Genomic DNA, 23,427 nt, shown 5'->3' on the forward strand with positions numbered 1-23,427 from the left:
TGCCCTGGCAAAGGGAACTGGGCTGCTGGAGGGCCCGTCTGCATTTTCATCACAGATGATAGGGTGGACAGTAGGCTTCCATCTGCTTCCCAATCACCAGTGTGAATTTGCTTTTTAGGATAACACCAGCAGTGATTAGCACCATCAAGGTAGAAAGTATAACTTAAAGAACAACTGTTTTGCTCTTCTTCATCAGCATAAATATTGGTTTAATTCTAAATCATGATTTTTCCTAAAGTAATCATTTTTGTAAATCTGCTTGTCAGACATGATCTCCTCATGCCCTTTCCTCAGGGAGAACTATTATATATTTGGCATATCAGTTTGCTTTATAAACTTTATTTCTTAACGGTCCAAATTTAGGATTTATTACTTAAACTTTCACTTTCATGTTTCGAAAGCATTTCTTTGGCATCCCTAACAAGCCCAGTCCAACCCGTCGTAGAGTGGCTTCTTGGGCAGTACCCTGAGTTTTCACATGTCCTGTGCAGGAGAACGGCCCTTTGGTGCTGACATAGGACCTCCCTGAAGACTAGGGGCTCTCGGCCCAGGGCACCACCCCACCAAGGGGACATTTGTTGATGTCTGGAGACATTTGTGGCTGTCTGAACAGAGAGGGTGCGGCTTGCTTTGCTGGGCAGCACCAGGGGTGCTGCTGAATGCACAAGGCAGCCCTCACCACAAAGAATCACCTGCCCAGAGGGCCAGAGTTGCCCAGCCCAAGAAACCTGCTGAAGACCCTCTAATGAGAAGCCATTCTCCAGATGCCCCTCACAGAAACAGGAGAACTGAGGCAGACATCAGGGCCCCTTCACAGATAGCTCGTGTTTTCAGGATGTGCCAGTTGCCTAGCATGAATTTTCCAGCTTAAATGGTGAACATTTAGCAAAAGTCTGTGTTTTTGCTTGCTGGTGACTATTCTTAAATCCCATAATGAAAAGATAAACAAAATTTCCAGAGAATTACACTAAGAGGAAAAAAAGAAAAGCCAATCACAGATACTTAACGTGTTATTGCATAACATTTTGGAAATGACAAAATTTAGAAATGGAGGATAGATGAAAAGTTACCAGGGTGTAGGGATGGGGCAGGGTGTGTGGTTATAAAAGGCCCCAGGAGGTAGCCTTCTGCGGGAACAGTCGGGGTTTCGGCCGAGGTCTAGATGTGCACACCCAGATGAGTTACGAGTAAACTGGGCCATGTGAAAAAGACGGGTGCGCTGCCATGTCAGTACCCCAGCTGAGACACTGTTGTGTAGTTTCGCAAACCGTTGCCATTGGAGGAAACTGTGGAAATAAAGACACTGGGATTGCTTTGCTATTTTTACTATTATGCAAATCTGTCATTATCTGAATAAAGATTTCCGTTAAATAAAAAAGATAAAGCTTACATGCTGCTTTATGGAATAATCAGACCTGAAGTCATGTATCAGTCCAGCTGTGGAAAGCCAGCACTCACAGCACCCCTCCCCACAAGGTCTCGTACAATGATAGAATTGGAACTTATAACTGAGTCACACTAAATTGGCCATAAAGCTACTGAAGATTTAGGTTTTTTGCCAGTGAGACAGTCTTCAGGGGATGGGAATGTGTGCTAAAAACTAGGAAAAGTTCACCTTTGCAGTTTCCAGTCTGGGTAATAAAAATCAGTGAGTGACCATCACCCCTGAGTGTCAGCAATAAGTAGTTATACTGTAACAAAATAGTAGTTTATATTCAACTCCACATGCCGTTATCAAAATAAAGCTGGGCCTTGTAGTGTATGTGCATTATTTCAAAATGCAGTTAGCACCAAAGGGTGTAGAGTAAGAGGTAAGTCCCTCCCACACCTGCTAGCCACACACCGCCCCTCTCTGGGAGAGTCTGTGCCCTTTCTGTTGGCATCTTTTTTTTTTTTTTTTTTTTTGAGGTGGAGTCTCACTCTGTCATCCAGGCTGGAGTGTAGTGGCGTGATCTCAGCTCACTGCAACCTCTGCCTCCTGGGTTCAAGCAGTTCCCTGCCTCAGCCTCCTGAGTAGCTGGGATTACAGGCTCCCGCCACCACACCTGGCCAATTTTTGTATTTTTAGTAGAGATGGGGTTTCACCATATTGTCCAAGCTGGTCTTGGAACTCCAGACCTTGTGATCCACCCGCCTTAGCCTCCCAAAGTGCTGGGATTACAAGCGTGAGCCACTGCGCCCAGCCTTCTCTTGGCATCTTTCCACCAGCCAGCTACCTCGCGTGTGTGTGTGATGTGTGAGTGCACATGTGCATTCTATTGAGACGAATTTTTTAAATCCAATCATTGTATTCAGTTCCTCTTCGGCATATATAGTTTATATCATCAAATGTTAACTGTTTATTAGTGCCCTACACAGACTTTTAGGAATGTTTAATATAACAGTTTTAAATTAAAAATACAAACTAGGCTAGGCACAGTGGCTCACGCTTGTAATCCCACCACTTTGGGAGGCCAAGGCAGGCAGATCATGAAGTCAAGAGATCAAGACCATCCTGGCCAACATGGTGAAACCCCGTCTCTAGCTGGGCGTGGTGGTGTGCACCTGTAGTCCCAGCTACATGGGAGGCGGAGGTTGCAGTGAGCCGAGATCACGCCACTGCACTCCAGCCTGGTGACAAAGCGAGAGTCCATCTCAAAACAAAAAAAAAAAAGTACAAACTAAAAAAGTGAGCTTTTCATGGTTAGAAGTGATGGAGAAGGAAAACTAGCCAAGAAGTCCCAAGAGGTATATTGAATTAATAGGAATTAACTTGTCTTGGAGGAACTTACACATAAACATTCTTTAAAAAGCAACGGACATTTTCCAGTCGTTTGTAAGTTCTCTCAGAAACAGAATCGTAAGACCAATGCATTAATTGTGTATTTAATTGTATATTCACACCAAGCACAGGGGCTCATGCCTGTAAACCCAGCACTTTGGGAAATCACAGTGGGAGGATTGCTTGAGGCCAGGAGTTCGAGACCAGCCTGGGCAACATGACCCCGTCTCTACAAAACTTTAAAAAGATGGGCCAGATGTGGTGGCCTGAGCCTGTAGCACCAGCTACTCAGGAGGCTGAGGTGGGAGGATTGCTTGAGCTTGGGAGGTTGAGGCTGCAGTGAACCGTGATTGCACCACCGCACTCCAGCCTCGGCCGCAGAGTGAGGGCCTGCCTCAAAAAAAAGTGTATTCACTTAATTTTTGAAATGTGAATTCAATTTGTGAAACTTTTAAAGTTATTGAGTATTTACTACTAAGAGTAATTTATGTTAAACTATCCTGATTATATGATAGCAGGAGAAGATACTGTTTGCTATTGTAAACATGTTGCTGAGTTGGTATTGATTTGCTTTTGTAGACTTTTGGAACAGCGATCGTAATCAATCCTGAGAAAGACAAAGACATGGTCCAAGACCTGTTGGACTTCAAGGACAAGGTGGACCACGTGATCGAGGTCTGCTTCCAGAAGAATGAGCGGTTCGTCAACCTGATGAAGGAGTCCTTTGAGACGTTCATCAACAAGAGACCCAACAAGCCTGCAGAACTGATCGGTAGAAAAATATTTGTTTTTTTTGTTTGTTTGTTTTTGAGACAGTCTCACCCATTTCTAGACAATTTTTTAATATGGGAAAATAAGGCAAAATCAACCAAAATGTTCAAGCTGCTCAAGGGGTGTGTGGAAAGCGTTTTTATCAAGTCTTATTAGGACACAAATTTAAAAACCGACACACCTGCATGCATGGGTGGAGGAGGGCATTTCCATAAGGGAAGATGAGGTAAGAATTTAGAAAAGAAATGATGCTTGACTTCGCCAAAGAAGGGAGGGGTGATCACCATCTTTGTATCCTCTAATCCATATTAAAATAGGATAAAACCAGATGAGATCTCAAATGATAATACTATTTTTAAGCTGTACAATTTTTTCACAATAATATCAAAATATATTTCAGAATTCATAGGCTTTCTCTAGTCAGTAAAATTTTTTTTTTAATTCGAAGGAGAAAGGGGGCAAAGAGAGCTGAAATACGACGATACTAGATTGACTGTTGATTACTGCTGAAGATGTAAGATGGAACATGGAGCTCATTGTGCAATTGTCTGCTTTTCTGTGTGTTCAGAATATTCCATTACAAAATGTTTAAAAGAAAAAAACTAACAAAAACAGCAACAGAAGGAATTCAGGAGGCAGTTTACTTTGGCTTTTGTTCCTCTGTATCATTTGTGGTTTCTCTAAAGCAAAGGGATGTTGAGCTCTTGGGAGTTTGGGCTTCTGGAAGTCTTGGGTTCTCCCATCACATGGGGACTTTGGTCCTCCCTCCCAAGCCACCTGACGATGGCTTGTGCAGCCTCAGAAACAGGAAGCCCGAGTAGAAATGCTTTCACCCTGCGTTGCCACCTTGGATGCTCTGAGAAAGTCTTTCTCTTTGAGAATGTCTCCTCTGCATTCATGACACCAGATCCTAGAAATAGGCACTCCAGCGTCCGGGGCAGTCACGTCCTGAAACCTGAGCATGTATTTGCTGAAGTCATTTTATTTTGAAATTCAGAGATTGCATTTAAAGATAAGAAAGATATTTAAACCTGCTTTAAACATTCAGTCCTGGCTTCATTAAAATTTTGGCAAGTATTTACTCTCACTTGACTTGAGAAGTACTTACCTTAGAAAATCAGATATTTGTTTTTTTGTCATATAGTCATTTTGGGAAGGTTCCAGAATGTTCCTGTACAATGTTGCTAATAGAAATTGAAGATGCTCTCTTTTTCTAGTTTAGAGTATTTACTATATGTTTATGCTCACAGCAAAGCATGTGGATTCAAAGTTAAGAGCAGGCAACAAAGAAGCCACAGACGAGGAGCTGGAGCGGACGTTGGACAAGATCATGATCCTGTTCAGGTTTATCCACGGTGAGACTCGGGCACTCAGAAAATGCTGCATAATCAAGAGGTGTAAACAGGCCCTGCTTTCCCAGAGGAGGTTTAGCATGAGAATGTCAGTATCAGTAGAGCCAGTTTGCATTAGAATGAACACTTTTCATCCTTGCTAACATGGTGAAACCCCGTCTCTACTAAAAATACAAAACATTAGCCAGGCGTGGTGGCAGGCGCCTGTAGTCCCACCTACTTGGGAGGCTGAGGCAGAGAATGGCGTGAACGCGGGAGGCGGAGCTTGCAGTGAGCCGAGATCGCGCCACTGCACTCCAGCCTGGGCAACAGAGCAAGACTCTGTCTCAAAAAAAAAAAAAAACACTTTTAAGGGTTTTCAGCAGTTGAAGTTTGAAGTTTAACATTTGCTTATCAACTCTCTGATGTCTTGATTATTCTCGTCTGGTTATAAATAGGTAAAGATGTCTTTGAAGCATTTTATAAAAAAGATTTGGCAAAAAGACTCCTTGTTGGGAAAAGTGCCTCAGTCGATGCTGAAAAGTCTATGTTGTCAAAGCTCAAGCATGGTAAGTATGTGGGGCCTGGGCTCCTCCCCTGTAACTGAGGGTTGCTGCCCCGTGTGTTACCCCGATCTCACTCCCTCCTTTGCTGTGTCCAGAGTGCGGTGCAGCCTTCACCAGCAAGCTGGAAGGCATGTTCAAGGACATGGAGCTTTCGAAGGACATCATGGTTCATTTCAAGCAGGTGAGTTGTGTTTCTTAGGTAAAGCGGCTTTTTAAAAAGTATCTGTTAGTGTGGTGGCTCATGCCTGTAATCCCAGCACTTTGGGAGGCAGAGGCAAGAGACGTTCTTGAGGCCAGAAGTTCAAAACTACCCTGATCAACATAGCAAGACCCAGTCTCTACAAAAGAAAAATTTTTTTAATGAACAGGTAGTCCTAGCTACTGGGGTAGGGCTGAAGTGAGAAGATCACTTGAGCCCAGGAGTTTGAGGCTGCAGTGAGCCGTGACTGCACCACTGCGCTCCAGCCTGGGCAACAGAGTGAGACCTTGTCGTGGATGGGTGGATAGATAGATAATACATAGACAGAGATAGCAGTACCTTGTCATAGATAGATAAATAGATAAGGTAGGTAGATTCAATAGATTAGATAGAATGAATCTCACTCTATGTAAGAAGAAAATTACACTATTAACGTTTCACAAGTAAATTTTAAAAGAAGAAAAAGAAGATCTAAACGTGTGGCAAGAATTTTATTTCAGTGAGTCTGGTGGTGACACCTGAAGAAGGGAAAAAGGCAGTCCTAGTGAGGCATTGGGTTTCATGGAATACATTCTGGGGACTGAGATAAATTCTAACACAGATGAAACTTTATATTGAAAATTACACGGTTTATTTTGTTTTAGGTTAATTATGTTTTATTACTTTCTCAAAATGATTGTCTTGGATTTCTCTGTTTTAGCATATGCAGAATCAGAGTGACTCAGGCCCTATAGACCTCACAGTGAACATACTCACAATGGGCTACTGGCCAACATACACGCCCATGGAAGTGCACTTAACCCCAGAAGTAAGTGTGCAGAAAGCATGCTGTCCGCTCCCGCTGTCATGCCCTTACCAGGCACAGATATGTTGCCTTCAAGAATTGTTGAATGGGGAGTTTTTAAAAATAGCCCACTCAGTCCAAAATCAAAGTGCTCTTATGGTCTTTGGAAATGTGCTTGAGAAAGTGACCACTTTTGTCACCTTCTGTGGCTCCTCCCAGTGCAGCCTGTGTCCACCTGCTGACCTGCAGGGGGCCCATGAGCACAGGCACTTGTTTTGGAAGTTATGGCTTATTAAGCTGCGGTTCTTGTCTGGTTGTTCTTTCTTTCCATTGTAGACAGTGCTGAAGTCTTGGGAATGGCATTATTTAGGGCCTTCTTTGTCAGCCACTACTTTAGCTACACTAAACCCTTCAGTGGAGGGTTTGCACGCCGGAGGTAGAATTCTGTGCTCAATGAAGTTAACATCAGCAGGAGATACAATACATGCACCATTCATTTAATACCAGGCGAAGGGAAAGGGCTGAGACCAGCCTGCAATCATGGAAGACTTCCTGGAAAAGGCGTCCCTTAAGCCTGATATCAAGTAAAGATGAATGATGATTTCGTCAGCTGAGAAGGGAAGAAAGACACACAGCTACAGTGGTAGGACAGTGTGATTCCTTTTCTTATCCATCATGAGGGTCATGGCCAATGCTCCTTTAACAAAAGACAAATTAGGAGGAGAAAACCTTAACAAATTTATTTAATCAAAGTTTTATTTAACACATCAGGCTTCAGAAATGAAGACCAAAGACCCAGGGAAGACTGTCCATTGTTATGCTTAGGTTTGATAAAGAATGGGCAGCCATGTAGAAATAGGTGTGTTAGTCTGTTTTGCATTGCTGTAAAGGAATACCTGGGGCTGGGTAATTTGTAAAGAAAAGAGTTTTCATTGGCTCATGGTTCTGCAGGCTATACAAGCATGGCACCTGTGTCTGTGCAACTTCTGATGAGGTCCCAGGAAGCTTTTACTCAAGGTTGAAGGCAAAGGGGGAGTAGGCGAGAGAGAGGGCGCAACAGGTGGTGGGGGAAGGTCCCAGACTCCTTAACAATCAGATCTCGTGGTAACTCATTACCACAGGGAGGGCGCCAGGCCATTCATGAGGGATCCACCCCCATGACCCAAACACCTCCCACCAGGCCCCACCTCCAGCACTGCAGATCACAGTTCACCGTGAGATTTAGAGGGGACAGACCCCCAAACTCTTATCAATGTGACTGGACAGAAGGGTACCATCTAACAGTAGTAGAGTAGCGGGGAAACCAGTAAGGCCTGTCTGTTCAGATTCTTCTTGGCCTCACTGGGCAATGTTCTTTCCTCCCAGGTGTAGGGCAGGACACCTCTGGAACAAGAGTCTTATGACTTAACTATCAGCAAGGTAGTTCAGAGAACTTCTTAATATCCAGATCCTACACAAAAGGGCATGGGAAGCATCGAGTAGTATCTCCAGGCTTTATGGCTGGCTTTGGGCAAGAGGGGTTTGAGTTTTCTCTGGCCTGCCTTGGGGAAGAAGAGTTCTCATTCCAGGAGAACTTTGGGGGAGAAGGTGAGTGAGAGAGCTTGCTTCTGAGGCGTCCTAGCCAGACTTAGAGAACATGTGCGGGATGCTCAAAGAAAGCCAGGCAGCCTGCTTTCCACGCTGGCCACGTGGTGCTGTCCCTTCCTGTCTCCACAGATGTTTGTGCTTCTGCACCATTCCCTTTCCCCTTAATATTCTAGTGGCTATTTCCCAAGAACATAAGCACCTGTCAAATGAGGGCATTCATTCTGATGTAATACTTTCACCCCATTTCTGTTGGTTGTCTCAGATATGTCCTTTGTGGTGTTTTTCCGGTACCCAGCTGAGCCCAGGACCCAGGCGGCCTTCGATGCTCCCTGTGAGTAGGTTCAGGTTGGGCAGGTCCAGCCAGATGCCCCGTGTCCCCATCAGGATCCTGGCGGGAGGTGCGCACTATCACGTGCCCCAGTGTCTTGGTGACATTCGATAGGATCCTCCTGTGAAGGTGCTGGCTGGTTTCTCCACCGTATCGTTAGTGTTTTTCCTTTTGTAATCACTAAGTAATCTGTGAGGAGACATTTCAAGACTACGTAAACCTCTTAATCCTCATCCAGCTGTCACCTGTGTGGCGATTCCTGGCTGAATTGATTTTTACCTGGTGAATGGGGATTTTTTTCCAGCTCTATCATTTCTCTATATTTAGAAGTTGGCATTCTAAGGAAGAGCCCTTCTTTCCACCCCCTTTATTTACTTATTTATTTCTCTCTCTTTATATCATTATGAACTCAGGGATTCTTAATTTATGTACTTATTTTGATGCTTAAATTGTCCCATATGTGGTCTGTGAGCCACCCTTAACACTGGTTCCTTTGCTCTTTGATATGCCTACATCATTTTTTTAGTACTTTTTTGTTTTCTAGCAAAAGTTGTTTGAAGCTTACCATACTGTATTTTTTTATTGTGGTAAAATATACTTTAACATTCAAGTTACCTTTTTAAAGCGTGTGGTTCAGTAACATCCAGTGCAGTTGTTCCTCAGTATCCACGGGCTGTTGGTTCCAGGACTCCCACAGATACTAAAATTCACACTCAAGTCCGTTATTTTATATAAGTGTGAGATCTTAGATAACCTATGCATACTCTCCCATATACTGTAAATAATCTCTAGATGATTTGTAATACCTAACAAATGCTGTGTAAATAGTTGTTACACTGTATTGTTAACAGTACAGTAACAGACCTGTCTGTTCAGATTCTTCCTGGCCTTTTAGGGGATCACTGACAAAAAAACTTAGTGCATGTTCAGTACAGACAACCATCCTTTTTTTGCTTTCGAATATTTTTGACCTGAGATTGGTTGAATCCATGGCTGTGGAACCCATGGACACAGAAGGCCAGTGGTACATTTACAGTGTTACAGAGCTGTCACCCCTGTCGATTCCAGAATTTTTCCATCATTCCATTAGCAGCTCCTCCCCAGCCTGCTCTGCTCCGGACCCCGGCAGCCACTATCTGCTTCCTGTCTCTGTGGATTTGTCTACATTAGATAGTTCACAGAAATGGAATCACAATATGTGAGCTTTTGTGTCTGGCTTCTTTCACTTAGCGTGCTGTTTTCAAAGTCCATCCGTGCTGCACCATACATGAGCGCTTTATTCCATCCATGCTGTACCATACATGAGCGCTTTATTCCATCCATGCTGTACCATACATGAGCGCTTTATTCCATCCATGCTGTGCCATACATCAGCGCTTTATTCCATCCGTGCTGTGCCATACATCAGCGCTTTATTCCATCCATGCTGTACCATACATGAGCGCTTTATTCCATCCGTGCTGCACCATACATCAGTGCTTTATTCCTTTTCTGGCTGAATAACATCACATTGTATCGATAGGTCACATCTGGTTTCTCCATTCACCAAACATTGGGCATTTGGGTTATTTCCACCTTTTGGCCGCTGTGAATAATGCTGCTATGAACATGGGTGTACAAGTTTTAGTTTGAACACCTGCGGTCACTTATTTTGGGGTATATACCTGGGAGTGGAACTGCTGGGTCATGCAGTAACTTGAAGTTTAAGTTACTGAGGAATTGCCGGACTGTTTCCCACAGTGGCTGCAGCAGCTTTTATTCCAGTTAGCAATCACGAGAGCTTCCCACCTTCTCACCTACACCTGTGATCTGCCTCTTTCGTTGTAGCCATCCCTGTCCATATGAGCTGGTCTCTCATCTTGCCGTGATTTGCATTTCCCTGATGACTGTTGATGTTGAGCATCTTTTCATGTCCTGATTGACCATTTGCGTATCTTCTTTGGAGAAATGTCTGTTCACGTGCTTTGCCTAGTTTTTAACCGGGCTGTTTATCTTTTGTTATTAAGCTATAAGAGCTCTTTATATTCCAAATGCTAGACCCTTATCAGATCTGTGATTTGCAAGTATTTTCTCCCATTCTGTGGGCTATCTTTTTACTTTCTTGATAGTGTGCTTCTACAAAAGTTTTTAATTATGGTAAAATCACATTTATTTTCTCTTTTGTAACTTTTGGTGTCATGTCTGAGAAACCATTGCCAAATCAAGATCACAAAAAATTGACGAGGCCAGGTGCAGTGCCTCACACCTGTAATCTCAGAACTTTGGGAAGCCAAAGATCACTTGAGCCCAGGAGTTAGGAACAGCCTAGACGACATGGTAAAGCCCCGTCTCTACAAAAAATAGACAGATTAGCCGCATGTCGTGGTGTCTGCCTACAGACCCAGCCACTCAGGAGGTTGAGGTGGCAGGATTGCCTGAGTCTGGGAGGTTAAGGCTGCAGTGAGCTGTGATGGAGCCGCTGTACTCCATCCTGGGCAACAGAGTGAGATCCGAGACCGTGTCTCAAAAAAAGAAAATAAAATAGCACTATGTATTCTCCCAAAAGTTTTATAGTTTTAGCTCATATGTTTCAGTCTTTGACCCATTTTGGGCCTGGACTGGTAGCTAGCACATAGTACCCAAACGATAGCATTATGATGATAATTATCCTCATTAATACCAATCCAGTCCTAGGAATGAATCCCAAGGAGATGGTTTTTAGGAAAGATATGCACTAAGAGGTTTATCACAAACCATGGTACTTCTCAAGGCAAAAAGAAAGAAGAGGCTTATCACATTATTGACTTTTATTTAGGTATGGTAATGGCATAGTAGATACATTTCCTAAAAGAGTTCCTGTCCTTTAGAGATACAGAAATACCTACAAATGAAATGAAATCGATGATATCGTGCCTGGGATTTGGTGTCATTGAAGATGGGGAGTAGGTGCAGCAGGTGATTTATACATGTGGTTTCATAGAAAGGTGACTCTTGGGCTGAGTTTTGAAGCATGAAGAGGAGATTGCCAAGCAGATGTGAGGTCAGCAGGAATTTCTGACAGGGCACAGCTTAGACAGAAACACAGAGAAACTAAAAGGGCACGTCAAGTCTAGAGAGCAGCAGGCATTTATGCAGCACCTGCTGGTGCCATGTACAGTGCTGCAATGGGGAGTCAGAGAGCCAGAGGCCCTGCCCTGTGAGCCCCTGTCCGGAGTCCACATTCACACTGTGCTATAGATGCTGGTAGAGCTAAGAGGGTGTCAGAGAAGACCTCTCTGAGGAGGCGGTTCTGGAAATGAGTAGGTTTCATGAGGGAGATGGGATATGGGATCCAGCAGAAGAAACCACGTGTGTGAAAGTCTGAGGGGATGAGAATGTATGAAAGACAGTGGAATGATCGACTGAACTGGGCCTGGAGGATGGGAGGGGCACAGGCCAGGTCTGTGAGATCAGAGGTTAGAATTTCACGCTTTCTTTGTCCCAAGATCTTTAGAAGCCATCCAGAGACACAGGGAATGGTGAGCTCGTGGGAGAGGAGGGATTGGTTTGGATTTGTGTTCCTGCCCAAATCTCATATTGAATTGTAATCACCACTGCTGGGGGAGGGCCCGGGTGGGAAGCGACCGGATCATGGGGGCAGATTTCCCCCTTGCTGTGCTCATGGTAGTGAGTGAGTTCTCATGAGATCTGGTTGTTTAAAAGTATGTAGCACCTCCCCCTTCTCTCTCTTCCCTGCTCCCGTCATGTGAAGACGTGCCTGCTTTTTTCCCCTTACCTTCTGCCATGATTAAAAGTTTCCTGAGGCCTCCACAGCCAAGCTACTTGTACAGCCTGCAGAACTGTGAGCCAATTAAACTTTCCTTCTTTATAAATTACCCAGTGTCAGGTATTTCTTTATAGCAGTGAAAGAATGGACCCATACAAGACGTATAGGTGGATGCTGAGTCCCGGAGCATTGGCATTTGTGGAGTGGACGAGAGCAGGGGGAGGCCACGCCCTGGGCTGTGCAGAGATGGTCTCCTGAGGCGAAACTGGTGAGCCCTTGCGTGCGCAGCACAGACGTGTCGGAGATCCCGGGTGCAGTGGACACCAGACAGGATCAAGCTGAAGAGTGGAGGGTATGACGGACCAGGAAGGGCATGCAGAAGTCAGGGAAAGCACCGCGCATGGGAGAGTCACACACAGCCTGCCCCTGAGAGGCATCCGGAAAACACGAGCAGGATCCGGGCGATGGGAAAGGCTGGTGCACTGAACGCTGGGAACTTGAAAATGCAGCAACCACAATTTTAAGGATCAGTAGAAAGTTTGGAAAATGTAAGAAATTCACTCAAGGCCAGGCACAGTCTAATTCCAGCGTTTTGGGAGGCCGAGGCAGGAGGAGCGCTTGGGCCCAGGATTTCAAGACCAGCCTGGGCAGCATGAGAAGACCCATCTCTACAACAACAACAACAACAAAAATCAACGGGCTTGGTGTCATGTACCTGTAGTCCCAGCTGCTCAGGACACTGAGGCAGGTGGATCACTTGCACCTGGGAGATCCAGCCTGCAGTAAGCTAGGATCACACCACAACCTGGCTGACAGAGCAAGCCTGTGTTCCAAAAAAGAAAAGAAATTCACCCAGAAACTAATCATAGAAACAACTAACTCGTGCTGCACTTTCTGTGCAGGCCCAGATGGAGGTGTTTGCCATCAGCCCCTGCACAGTGCAACGCAAGGGGTTGTGGTGTCACCCTTCACAGATGAGGAAGCAGGAGCCCCGCTCATTGCCGGGAACACCAGCCGAGGCCAGGGCTGGGCATGGCCGGGCTGAGACACAGGATCTGGCCTCAGACACCTTTTTCTTGACGGGCTCCAGTCTTCACTCTGTGCCACTGGCCCCAGCAAGCCCTGGTATGTACAGAGACCACGGAATACAGCTGGTCTGTACCATGAAACACCAGTTCAGGCATTATCTCGTTGACACTGAGAAGCCCCAAAGTTCAAGGATTGAGGACGTTTTTACAAATAATGGAATCCAGAAAGTGTGAGAATATAGAGCTGACCTTTTAATTCAGCCGTGAGAAATTGTAAAACTCTGTGCATTGAATGGGGAGCTATTGAGATGGATGGTGTGTGGCATAATTTTGTTGTTCTCCTATGCTTAACAGATGATTAAACTTCAGGAAGTATTTAAGGCATTTTATCTTGGAAAGCACAGTGGTCGAAAACTTCAGTGGCAAACTACTTTGGGACATGCTGTTTTAAAAGCGGAGTTTAAAGAAGTAAGTTGTCTGTTTCATTTATTTTTTATTATTTGTAAATATGTTAATATAATTTTTTTATTGTTACTGGACTTTAGTAGCAAAAAAGGAGTGTTTCACTTTAATTCACTAGCTTTTATAAGTCAATAAAATTTGTAACAGTTAAAGGGTTATTATTCCAATCAATAAAAATTCTTAAGAAATCAATCCATAGAAAACCATTTACCTATTGAAAAAAAGAGCAGAGAATGTGAAGAGGCAACTCATAAAAGCAAAATTGAAAAAAATATCTGTGAAGATGCATTACACTTCTCTGCTAAACAGAGGGCTTCAAAGTAAAATACAGTAAGATGCCACTTTTTGACTAAGAGATTTGATGAAGCCTAAAAAATAAAAAAAAATTAAAAAAAACAGACTCTTGCCCACTACTGGAAGAAGCATAAACTGTAGTGAGCTTTTGGAAGGGCAGTTTGGCATTGTGAACTTTGGCAACCCTGCTGCCGAGTTGTTGCCTTAGTTTCAACTCTAGGAACTCATCTTAATAAGACATTTTCACGGATTAATGAATGAGAATAGTGGTTGCAGTGCTGTTATTATGAGCGATTATTTAAGAGGGGAGAATGCATACAATGCACTGATCAATGAAAGGCGCTTATGAAACGGCAATTATATACACTAAGCAAAAACATAAAATTCCTATTTTGTATAGCTGTTATATTAATAATAAACTTATCTGTACATTATCAAATAAGTTATACATACCTACTTTATTATTGTAGAGAGTCATATACATGAAACCATATATTCTCTTCCTTAAGGTATTAGGAAAGTTAATTTCTATTATCCCCAGTTTTTTACCTACTTGCTGACTTTAGTTGAACTTGACCTCCACAGGGTCTGTACCAGCACCACCAACTGCAGCTCTCTCCAGGTGTGCAGGAAGGGCTTGTTATGGGCTTGTGATGAGTCTGGGCTGGGTCCGCAGAGGGGGCCACCAACTGTCACCCAAACTCTCATGTGCCTCTCGTGGGTCTGACCTGGAGGCATGTGGCAAGTTGCTGCAGCACTAACTCCTGAATAGAAAAGGAGATCATCCTGGGATATATAAGGCCAAATTGCATTCACCCCTACGTTACAGTCAGTCCCGTATAAAAGAAAGCTGGACTGTAATCCCAGTACCTGGGGAGGCCGAGGTGGGTGGATCACAAGGTCAGGAGATCGAGACCATCCTGGCTAACACAGTGGAACTCCATCTCTACTAAAAATACAAAAAATTAGCCGGGCTTGGTAGGCACCAGTAGTCCCAGCTACTCGGGAGGCTGAGGCAGGAGAATGGCATGATTCCGGGAGGTGGGGCTTGCAGTGAGCTGAGATTGTGCCACTGCACTCCAGCCTGGGTGACAGAGCGAGACTCCTTCTCAAAAAAAAAAAAGTTTGAGAGCAAAAAGAAGCTTCTTTTAATTTTTCAAAGATTGTACATGCACAGCTTCAGAGGTGTGATGAGGCCTTCTCTTCCAGGGGAAGAAGGAATTCCAGGTGTCCCTCTTCCAGACACTGGTGCTCCTCATGTTCAACGAGGGAGATGGCTTCAGCTTTGAGGAGATAAAAATGGCCACGGGGATAGGTACGAAAACTGCAGAGTGCATAGCTCCATGAGTTGTTCTTAAAGCATGTATTTGTTTTAAGATAAGACATAGACTTGGTAGCATGATTGGTTTACTGTTGTTGAGTCTCATTCGTTTAACGCCAGCCTTTGCCTGCATTTGCTTCCCATTCAGAGGATAGTGAATTGCGCAGAACGCTGCAGTCCCTGGCCTGTGGCAAAGCACGTGTGCTGATTAAAAGTCCCAAAGGAAAGGAAGTGGAAGATGGAGACAAGTTCATTTTTAATGGAGAGTTCAAGCACAAGTTGTTTAGAATAAAGATCAATCAAATTCAGATGAAGGAAACTGTATGTATAAACTTTCTCTTTTTACTTATAGGGGGTTTAGCAGGGAATCATTTGTTTTTGTAGTAATGTTTTTGGCTGTTAGAGGCCTGAAGCACATTTCTACAATAATCCAATTTCACTATGTAATGTTTATAAGAGTACTCATTTTCCTGTCGCTTTCATTAACTTCACATTCTCAGTAGGAAAGAAAATCAGAAAAAAAGCCACTTAATGTTATTCCTATTCACAAAAAAGTTGTGTGCTAAGCCAGAACTCCCCATGGTCATAGGGTTTCGAAAATTATCCACACTTTCTATGGTAATAGAATCTGATATGGTTCACTCTTGGTGTTGTACATTCTGTGGGTCTGGGTAAATGTATAATGTTATGTATCCACCATTATAGGATCATACAGGACAGTTTCATTGCCCTAAAAATTCTCTTATGTTCTGTCGCTGTATCCCTGTCTCCCTCCGAGCCCCTGGCAACCCCTGACCCTGTTACTGTCACCATAGTTTTGCCCTTTCCTGAATGCCGTACAGTTGGAGTCATAGTGTATATAGCCTTTTCAGATTGGCTTCTTTATTTATTAGAACGTATTTGAGGTTCACCGTGTCTTTTCATGACTGGGTAACTCTGCTTTTTGCACTGAAGGATTCTCCGTTGTCTGGATGCATCACAACTTATCCCTTCACCTACTGAAGGACATCTGGTTGTTTCCAAGTTTTGGTGATGATGACTAAAGCTGCTATAAACATTTCTGTGCAGGTTTTTATGTGGACTTAAGTTTTTAACTCCTTTGAGGGTGCACCTTTTATAGTGGGCAAAAGTGAGAAGGTCTATCAGTTCTTTCTCCCGAAGGTAACCACTACTGCCCTTTTTGTTTGTGGTCACAGCCTTTTTCTGTGGTGTGAGTGTATGTAAACTTTTTTTTTAGTGGGATCACTAAGCCAGGCACAGTGACATGCACCCATAGTCTCAGCTACTCGGGAGGGTCGCTTGATCCCGGGAGTTTGAGGCCAGCCTGAGCAATGCAGTGAGACCCCAAACTCTACAAAAGAAAAAACACCTGGGATCACTGTACATATGGCACCTGTCAGGGCCTTCCTGTAGCCAGTTTTCGTTGCTGATCGCAGTCTTCTCCTGGCCAGGACTTGTTGCAGGAGCACAGTGCCGGTTGTGTAGACCCACCAGGGCTGGCAGTGCCCTCGGCCACAGGCACTAACATTCCTCCACTGCCCCTCCTGAAAATAAGATTACGTTCAACACCCTGGCACAGACATTTCTGTGCACTTGTTAGATTGTTTCTTTAGTGTGATTCTTGCTCTGGAGCTGCTGGGTAAAATAATGTGTACTTGTCTTAGTTTGCTCTTTTCCAAGTTGAAGTCTGGCAGATTTCACCAGAGCACAGTGTCTGCCCCCACCTCCACCTGTCCTTCGCTCACCCTGTTCTGAGCAGCCCAAAGATAGTTTGTTGCAGTTTTCATTTTGATTTCTGATTCTTTACAGCATCTTTCTACCACTCAGTAGTTTATACAAATTATATAATCTTTCTAATGCTCAGTTTCTCATATTTAAAATAGACATACTACTACCTCAAGTTGTGAGAATTAAATGAATCGTTTAGAAAGCTCTTTGCCACACACCTGTAAGCACTTCATACATGTTGATGCTGCTCTTTTTATGCTTAGCCATTTGTATTTTTCTTTTTCTAATTGCTTTTCAAGTCATATGCATTCATTATAATGTTTTTTCTCTTACTGATTAGTAGGTTTTCTTTATATATTAAGGATATTAATGCTTTGTCCCTTTTTTTTTTTCGTTTTTTTTTTTTTTTTTTTTTTTGCATTTCACTCTGTCGTCCAGGCTGGAGTGCAGTGGTACAATCTCGCTCACTGCAACCTCCGTCCTCCGGGTTCAAGCGATTCTCCTGTCTCAGCCTCTCGAGTAGCTGGGACTACAGGCATGTGCCACCACACTCAACTAAGTTTTCTATTTTTAGTAGAGACGGGGTTTCACCATGTTGGCCAGGCTGGTCTCAAACTCCTGACCTCAGGTGAGTCACCCATCTCGGCCTCCCAAAATGCTGAGATTACAGGCGTGAGCCACCATGCCCAGCCTGCTTTGTCATTTTTGACAGATAATTTTGTTGTTTTTATTGGTTTTTTTTTCACATAACAGTTTTTAAGTTCTCAAATATAGTCTCCTTTTCTTTTATGGTTTCTGACTTAACGTGTAATGCTGTATTAGGCCATTCTTGTATTACTATAAGGAAATACCTGAAACTGGGTAATTTATAAAGAAGAGAAGTTTAATTGGCTCACGGTTCTGCAGGCTGTACAGGAAGCATGGTGCCAGCATCACCTCAGCTTCTGACGAGGCCTCAGGAAGTTTCCAGTCATGGTGGAAGGTGCAAGGGGAGCAGGTGTCTCACGTGGCAAAAGCATGAGCAAGAACAGGGAGGGAGGTGCCCCACATGTTTAAACGACCAGATCTCATCACCAAGGGGAGGGCCCAAGCCATTCATGAGGGACCTGCCCCCACCCACCCGGTCCCATCTCCAACACTGGAGACCACATTTCAGCATGAGATTTTGAGGGGACACATATTCAAAACCATATCATTGGCCTAAGAGAGAAATTCCCTTAACCAGAGTTTTAAAAAACATTTATACTATGTTATTTTTCTAGAAGTTTTTACATTTAAATCTTTCTTTTCATGTTGCAGAAATTATTTTAGTATCTGAAAACAGTCTAACTGCCCCCATCCTTTCCAAAACCAAATTTAAAATATCATCCTTGAACAAGTTATTTGAATTATCACCTTATTATGTATCAAATTCATATAGGTCAGTTTCTCAATTCTCTTCTATAAATTCTGTGTCTATTTCATAGCCAGCCATTTTTTTTGTTTTGTTTTGTTTTGTTTTTTGAGACAGTGTCGCCCAGGCTGGAGTGCAGTGGTGTGATCATAGCTCACTGCAGCCTCAACCTCTTGGGCTCAAGCGATCCTCCCACCTCAGCCCCAGGCATATGCCACCACGCCCAGCTAAATTTTTGTATTTTTTGTAGAGATGAGGCCTTGCCATGTTACCCAGGCTGGTCTTGAACTCCTGGGCTCAAGCAGTCTTCCTACCTTGACCCCCCAAAGTGCTGGGATTACAGCCGTGAGCCACCGTGCCCGGCACCAGGTTCTTTTAATTAATGTAGCTATTCCTATAACTTTATTCTTCCAATGAACTTGACAATAATTGTATCACGCCTTTGCTCCCCCAAATAAGAACATTGACATTTTTAATCCATATTGCATTAATTTACAGAGCTTTTATCTTTATCATATTAAATCTTGTGATTCATACATATGTGTATATATGTAAATACATACAAATCTTTTTCTCAGAGCTTTCTAGTTTTCTTCTGTAAGTCTTGCATATTTCTTGCTAGTCATAAATTTTCATTCATTCAACAAATACTTATTGAGCATCTGTGGTGGCCCAGGTCCTCTGTGAAGCACTGAGAATTCATCCATTAACAATAAAGAATAAGTCCTTGTTTCTAGGAGTGTTCAGTCTTTTCCAGCAGAGAGGTAGCAGAGGATCACACACATTGACTAACTTGTAAGAGTGGAGGAAAATGTTAGGATAGAGAAGTGCAGGAGAGTCTAATTAAATACTGTCGTCAGCCAACGCTTTCCTGAAGAAGTGACTAGCTTTGCTCAGGAACTGAAAGAAGGCCTCTGGCTGCAGCATCGTTGCCAAAAGGGGAAGCTGAGCCAGACAGGCCTGATCAGGGAGCCACAGCTGGACCCTCTGAAGATGGCTCAGATCCATGAAGCATTTGGAAAACCACTAGAGTTTTAAGCAAGACAGGCTAATGAAATGCTGATATCTTATAAAGGGGACCTTTTTTCTTTACATTTCTGACGGTTTTTATCAGAATGTATGTATTAATGCTATTTGTCTTTGTATATTTATTTTATTTCCAGCCACTTTACAAAACTCTTTAGCTTTGAAAGTTTTTCTGTTGATTTTCTTGGATTTTCCAGCTCATCTACAAATAATGATCGTTTTGTCTGCACCTTTTCAATATACCTCTTTAGTCTGTTCCTGTATTGCATAGTTAGAACCTCTAAAGTAATGTTTTTAAGGAATAGCAGTGCAGCTGAGCTTCCTAATTTTATCTCTAGTTCAGAGGATGTTAACTTTTTGGGGGTCATGGATCCTGTTGAAAATGTGATGAAAGCTTGGAGTCTCTCCCATCCTGAAGCATACTTGCCTCATATGTATGCACAGACCTTCCCCCAGCCCTCATTTCAACTGCAGATCCCCATCAGGTTCCTGTTGGACTAAGGTTAAGTTGTCTCTAGTATTTGCTGTTTGTTTCTGATAACCATGTTTTATCATGTTCAGATGCTTTTTTATTCATCCTTGTATGCTAATGTTTGTTTTAAATCAAAAAATCAATTTTATCATGCCTTTTCAGCATCTATCAAGATGGTCATGTAATCTAACCTTTCAACTGCTACAGTGCTCTCACTTATATTCACAGATTTCCTAATGTTGATCAACACTTAACATTTCTGGAATATATCCTGATGGTCATTATGTTTTGTTTACTGTGCTGCTAGTTTTAATCTACATCACACATAGAGTTGTTGCAGCTTTCTTATAAGGAAAATAACTTTTAAAAATATTTTTTAAGTTTTGGTTTTGGAGTTTTGCTATTCTGGGAAGGTACCTTTTACTACAACAAGTAAACATGCATAATAAAGTAGGATTCATCCAATGTCTGACCTTTCTTTGCATCAAAAGAACATTTCCGGCCAGGCACGGTGGCTCACGCCTGTAATCCCAGCACTTTGGGAGGCCGAGCCAGGTGGATCACGAGGTCAGGAGATCGAGACCAGCCTGGCTAACATGGTGAAACCCTGTCTCTACTAAAAATACAAAAATGAGCCGGGCATGGTGGGGGGGCACCGTAGTCCCAGCTACTTGAGAGGCTGAGACAGGAGAATGGCGTGAACCCGGGGGGCGGAGCTTGTAGTGAGCCGAGATCGCGCCACTGCACTCCAGCCTGGGTGACAGAGTGAGACTCCGTCTCAAAAAAAAAAAAAAAACCATTTCCCATCAAATTCGGTAACATCAGGTCATTAATATTGAAATATAGGCCAGGTGTGGTAGCTCACACCTGTAATCCCAGCACTTTGGGAGGCCAAGGTGGGCGGATCATCTGAGGTCAGGAGTTCAAAACCAGCCTGGCCAACATAGTGAAACCCTGCCTGTACAAAAATACAAAAAGTAGCCGGGCATGACAGCAGGTGCCTGTGATCCCAGCTACTCGGGAGGCTGAGGCAAGAGAATCGCTTGATCCTGGGAGGCGGAGGTTGCAGTGAGCCGAGATCACACCATTGCACTCTAGCCCAGGCAACTGAGTGAGACTCCATCGCAAAAAATAAAAAGAAAATACAGTTTTACACTTAACTTTTTTTTTCTTTTTTATACAGGTTGAGGAACAGGTTAGCACCACTGAGAGAGTGTTTCAGGATAGACAATATCAGATTGATGCTGCTATCGTCAGAATAATGAAGATGAGAAAGACTCTTGGTCATAATCTTCTAGTTTCTGAATTATATAATCAGCTGAAATTTCCAGTAAAGGTAAATGTAACATTAGCATAATTAAATTTGTAGTATTTGCTAAACAATTGACAAAGCATGTTTAATTCTATGTTCAGTCATATCATTTGACCTGCATTATTCATGGTGCTTTGTGTATACACTGAATGTAGAAAAACTGGCAAATGTGAAGCTCTTTATTCCAGGTGTTGCTCATTGCCACTGCAGAAATGATAGAGCCCTAAAACTCTCCTTCCCAGGGATGGTGCGCGCTTGTTCATATTTTCAGGAAGGGAAGAGGTAGATGGGACATGGAAAGCTGAACACTTTTCTCATAGTAGTAGCGGTCAAGGTTACATCACAAGATTTTAAGGAAATGATAACAATAACTAACTTACTCAGCGTTTACAGCCTACACCGCGTTTTCCACCACGGTAATAGTCTACTGTTGCTGTTGCTTATGAAAGTCAGCCCAGGCCTGTCAACCCGCGTTGTTTTCAGAACTGAGATTTACTGTCCTGCCACGTGTGGGATGCAGGATAAGCCGGGAAAGTATTATGAAACGTTTTTTACATGTATTTATCAACCCAGGAAATACTGAACTCTGATGACGCCTGGCCTCTCAGGGACAGGACCGGCCACACGTGCTTTGGAGGGAAAGTCCCCAGATTCCATGTTGTGCAGTTTGAGCCTCCCATTCCATCAAGGGAATAAAGTTGAGATGCACTAAATAGTCGAACACTTAAGAGTCTGGTGGAAGTGCCACTGTCCATCAGCCCACATTTGCCCCCTTCCCTGCAGAGGTGAGGTGCCGTCCTCAGGGCCCTGGGAAGCTCCAAAAGCACCATCAGGTTCACTGCCCCTTCCTCCCACCAGCTGGAGCAAGTCTCCTGTTGCCACTGCAAACAATCAGGCCCAGCGCGAAGCAGAGGTGAGCAAGAGTGGAGTGTGGCAGACCAGGGCACCTGCTCTGCTCTCGGGTAGAGAGTGGCAGACCAGGGCGCCCACTCTGCTCTCAGGGGTAGAGTGTGGCAGACCAGGGCGCCCGCTCTGCTCTCGGGTAGTTGGGTTTTTTTTTTCTTTGAGATGGAGTCTTGCTGTCCCCCAGGATGGAGTGCAGTGGCACGATCTCGGCTCACTGTAACCTCTGCCTCTCGGGTTCAAGCAGTTCTCCTGCCTCAGCCTCCTGAGTAGCTGGGCTTACAGGCACGCGCCACCACACCCAGCTAATTTTTGTATTTTTAGTAGAGACAGGGTTTTACCGTGTGGTCAGGCTGGTCTCAAACTCCTGACCTCGTGATCCGCCTGCCTCAACCTCCCAAAGTGCTGGGATTACAGGCGTGAGCCACCGCGCCCAGCCTCAGCCACATCTTGTAAAATGTGTGGCTTATCACTGAATAGAAGGTGAAGTTTGTTTGGAAAATAGAGGGTCTCCCTTGTATAGGGAGAGCCTTGCACGTAAGTGCTCACACAGATTTTCTTCCTAATACAGCAGAGCTGGAGTGGCTGTTCCCTCTGGGCAGAGACAGGCTGTGGCTGTGGATTCGTCTCCTCAGTCACCTACTCTTAGTGCAGGAACACTGGGGATTGTAGTTTCACTTACGTGGACATGGCATGCAATAACTATGTAAATACACGAGAATAAAACTACAGGCCAGGCGCACTGCCTCACGCCAGCGATCCCAGCACTTTGGGAGCTGAGGCAGGCGGATTGATTGAGCCCAGGAATTTGAGACCAGCCTGGGCAACATAGTGAGACCCCTTCTCTACAAAAAATAAAATTAGCCAGGCATGGTGGTGTGCAGCCTGTGATCCCAGCTACTGGGGAGGCTGAAGCACGAAGATTGCTTGAGTCCAGGAGGTGGAGGCTGCAGTGAGCTGAGATCGCACCACTGCACTCCAGCCTGGGCGACAAAATGAGACCCCATCTCAAAATAAATAAACAAAATAAAATACACTACTTAGGCAGAAGCATCCTTTCAAAGGATAAAAGTTGCCCCAGTAAGACATGTTGAGATTTTCCTTTCAAATAAAAATGTGTCACGTGATCGGGTCTGCCTCACTTATACGTGCCCTTGCTGATGGCAGATGTCGGATCTGCCTCGCTTATACGTGCCCTTGCTGATGGCAGATGTCGGATCTGCCTCGCTTATACGTGCCCTTGCTGATGGCAGATGTCGGATCTGCCTCGCTTATACGTGCCCTTGCTGATGGCAGATGTCGGATCTGCCTCGCTTATACGTGCCCTTGCTGATGGCAGATGTCGGGTCTGCCTCGCTTATACGTGCCCTTGCTGATGGCAGATGTCGGGTCTGCCTCGCTTATACGTGCCCTTGC

The 23,427-nt window shown here is 44.0% G+C and overlaps 1 protein-coding gene and 1 non-coding gene across 10 annotated transcripts in view; both read left to right on the plus strand.

Moving 5' to 3' along the window:
* Window positions 1-23,427, plus strand: part of CUL4A (cullin 4A) — a 58,916-nt gene that overhangs the window by 31,435 nt on the left and 4,054 nt on the right. For all 9 annotated transcript variants that reach the window (NM_001278513.3, NM_001278514.3, NM_001354938.2 and 6 more), the window contains exons 11-19: window positions 3,341-3,533; window positions 4,783-4,887; window positions 5,322-5,432; window positions 5,525-5,610; window positions 6,329-6,436; window positions 13,455-13,568; window positions 15,066-15,171; window positions 15,326-15,498; window positions 20,980-21,132. In NM_001278513.3, coding sequence (NP_001265442.1) covers window positions 3,341-3,533; window positions 4,783-4,887; window positions 5,322-5,432; window positions 5,525-5,610; window positions 6,329-6,436; window positions 13,455-13,568; window positions 15,066-15,171; window positions 15,326-15,498; window positions 20,980-21,132 — 1,149 coding nt within the window. The remainder of the gene's footprint in view (window positions 1-3,340; window positions 3,534-4,782; window positions 4,888-5,321; window positions 5,433-5,524; window positions 5,611-6,328; window positions 6,437-13,454; window positions 13,569-15,065; window positions 15,172-15,325; window positions 15,499-20,979; window positions 21,133-23,427) is intronic.
* Window positions 23,293-23,372, plus strand: MIR8075 (microRNA 8075). Its single transcript, NR_107042.1, has one exon. It is a non-coding gene; the product is annotated as a microRNA 8075 (primary transcript).

Source organism: Homo sapiens, chromosome 13, assembly GCF_000001405.40.
Source record: "Homo sapiens chromosome 13, GRCh38.p14 Primary Assembly".
NCBI lineage: Eukaryota > Metazoa > Chordata > Mammalia > Primates > Hominidae > Homo > Homo sapiens.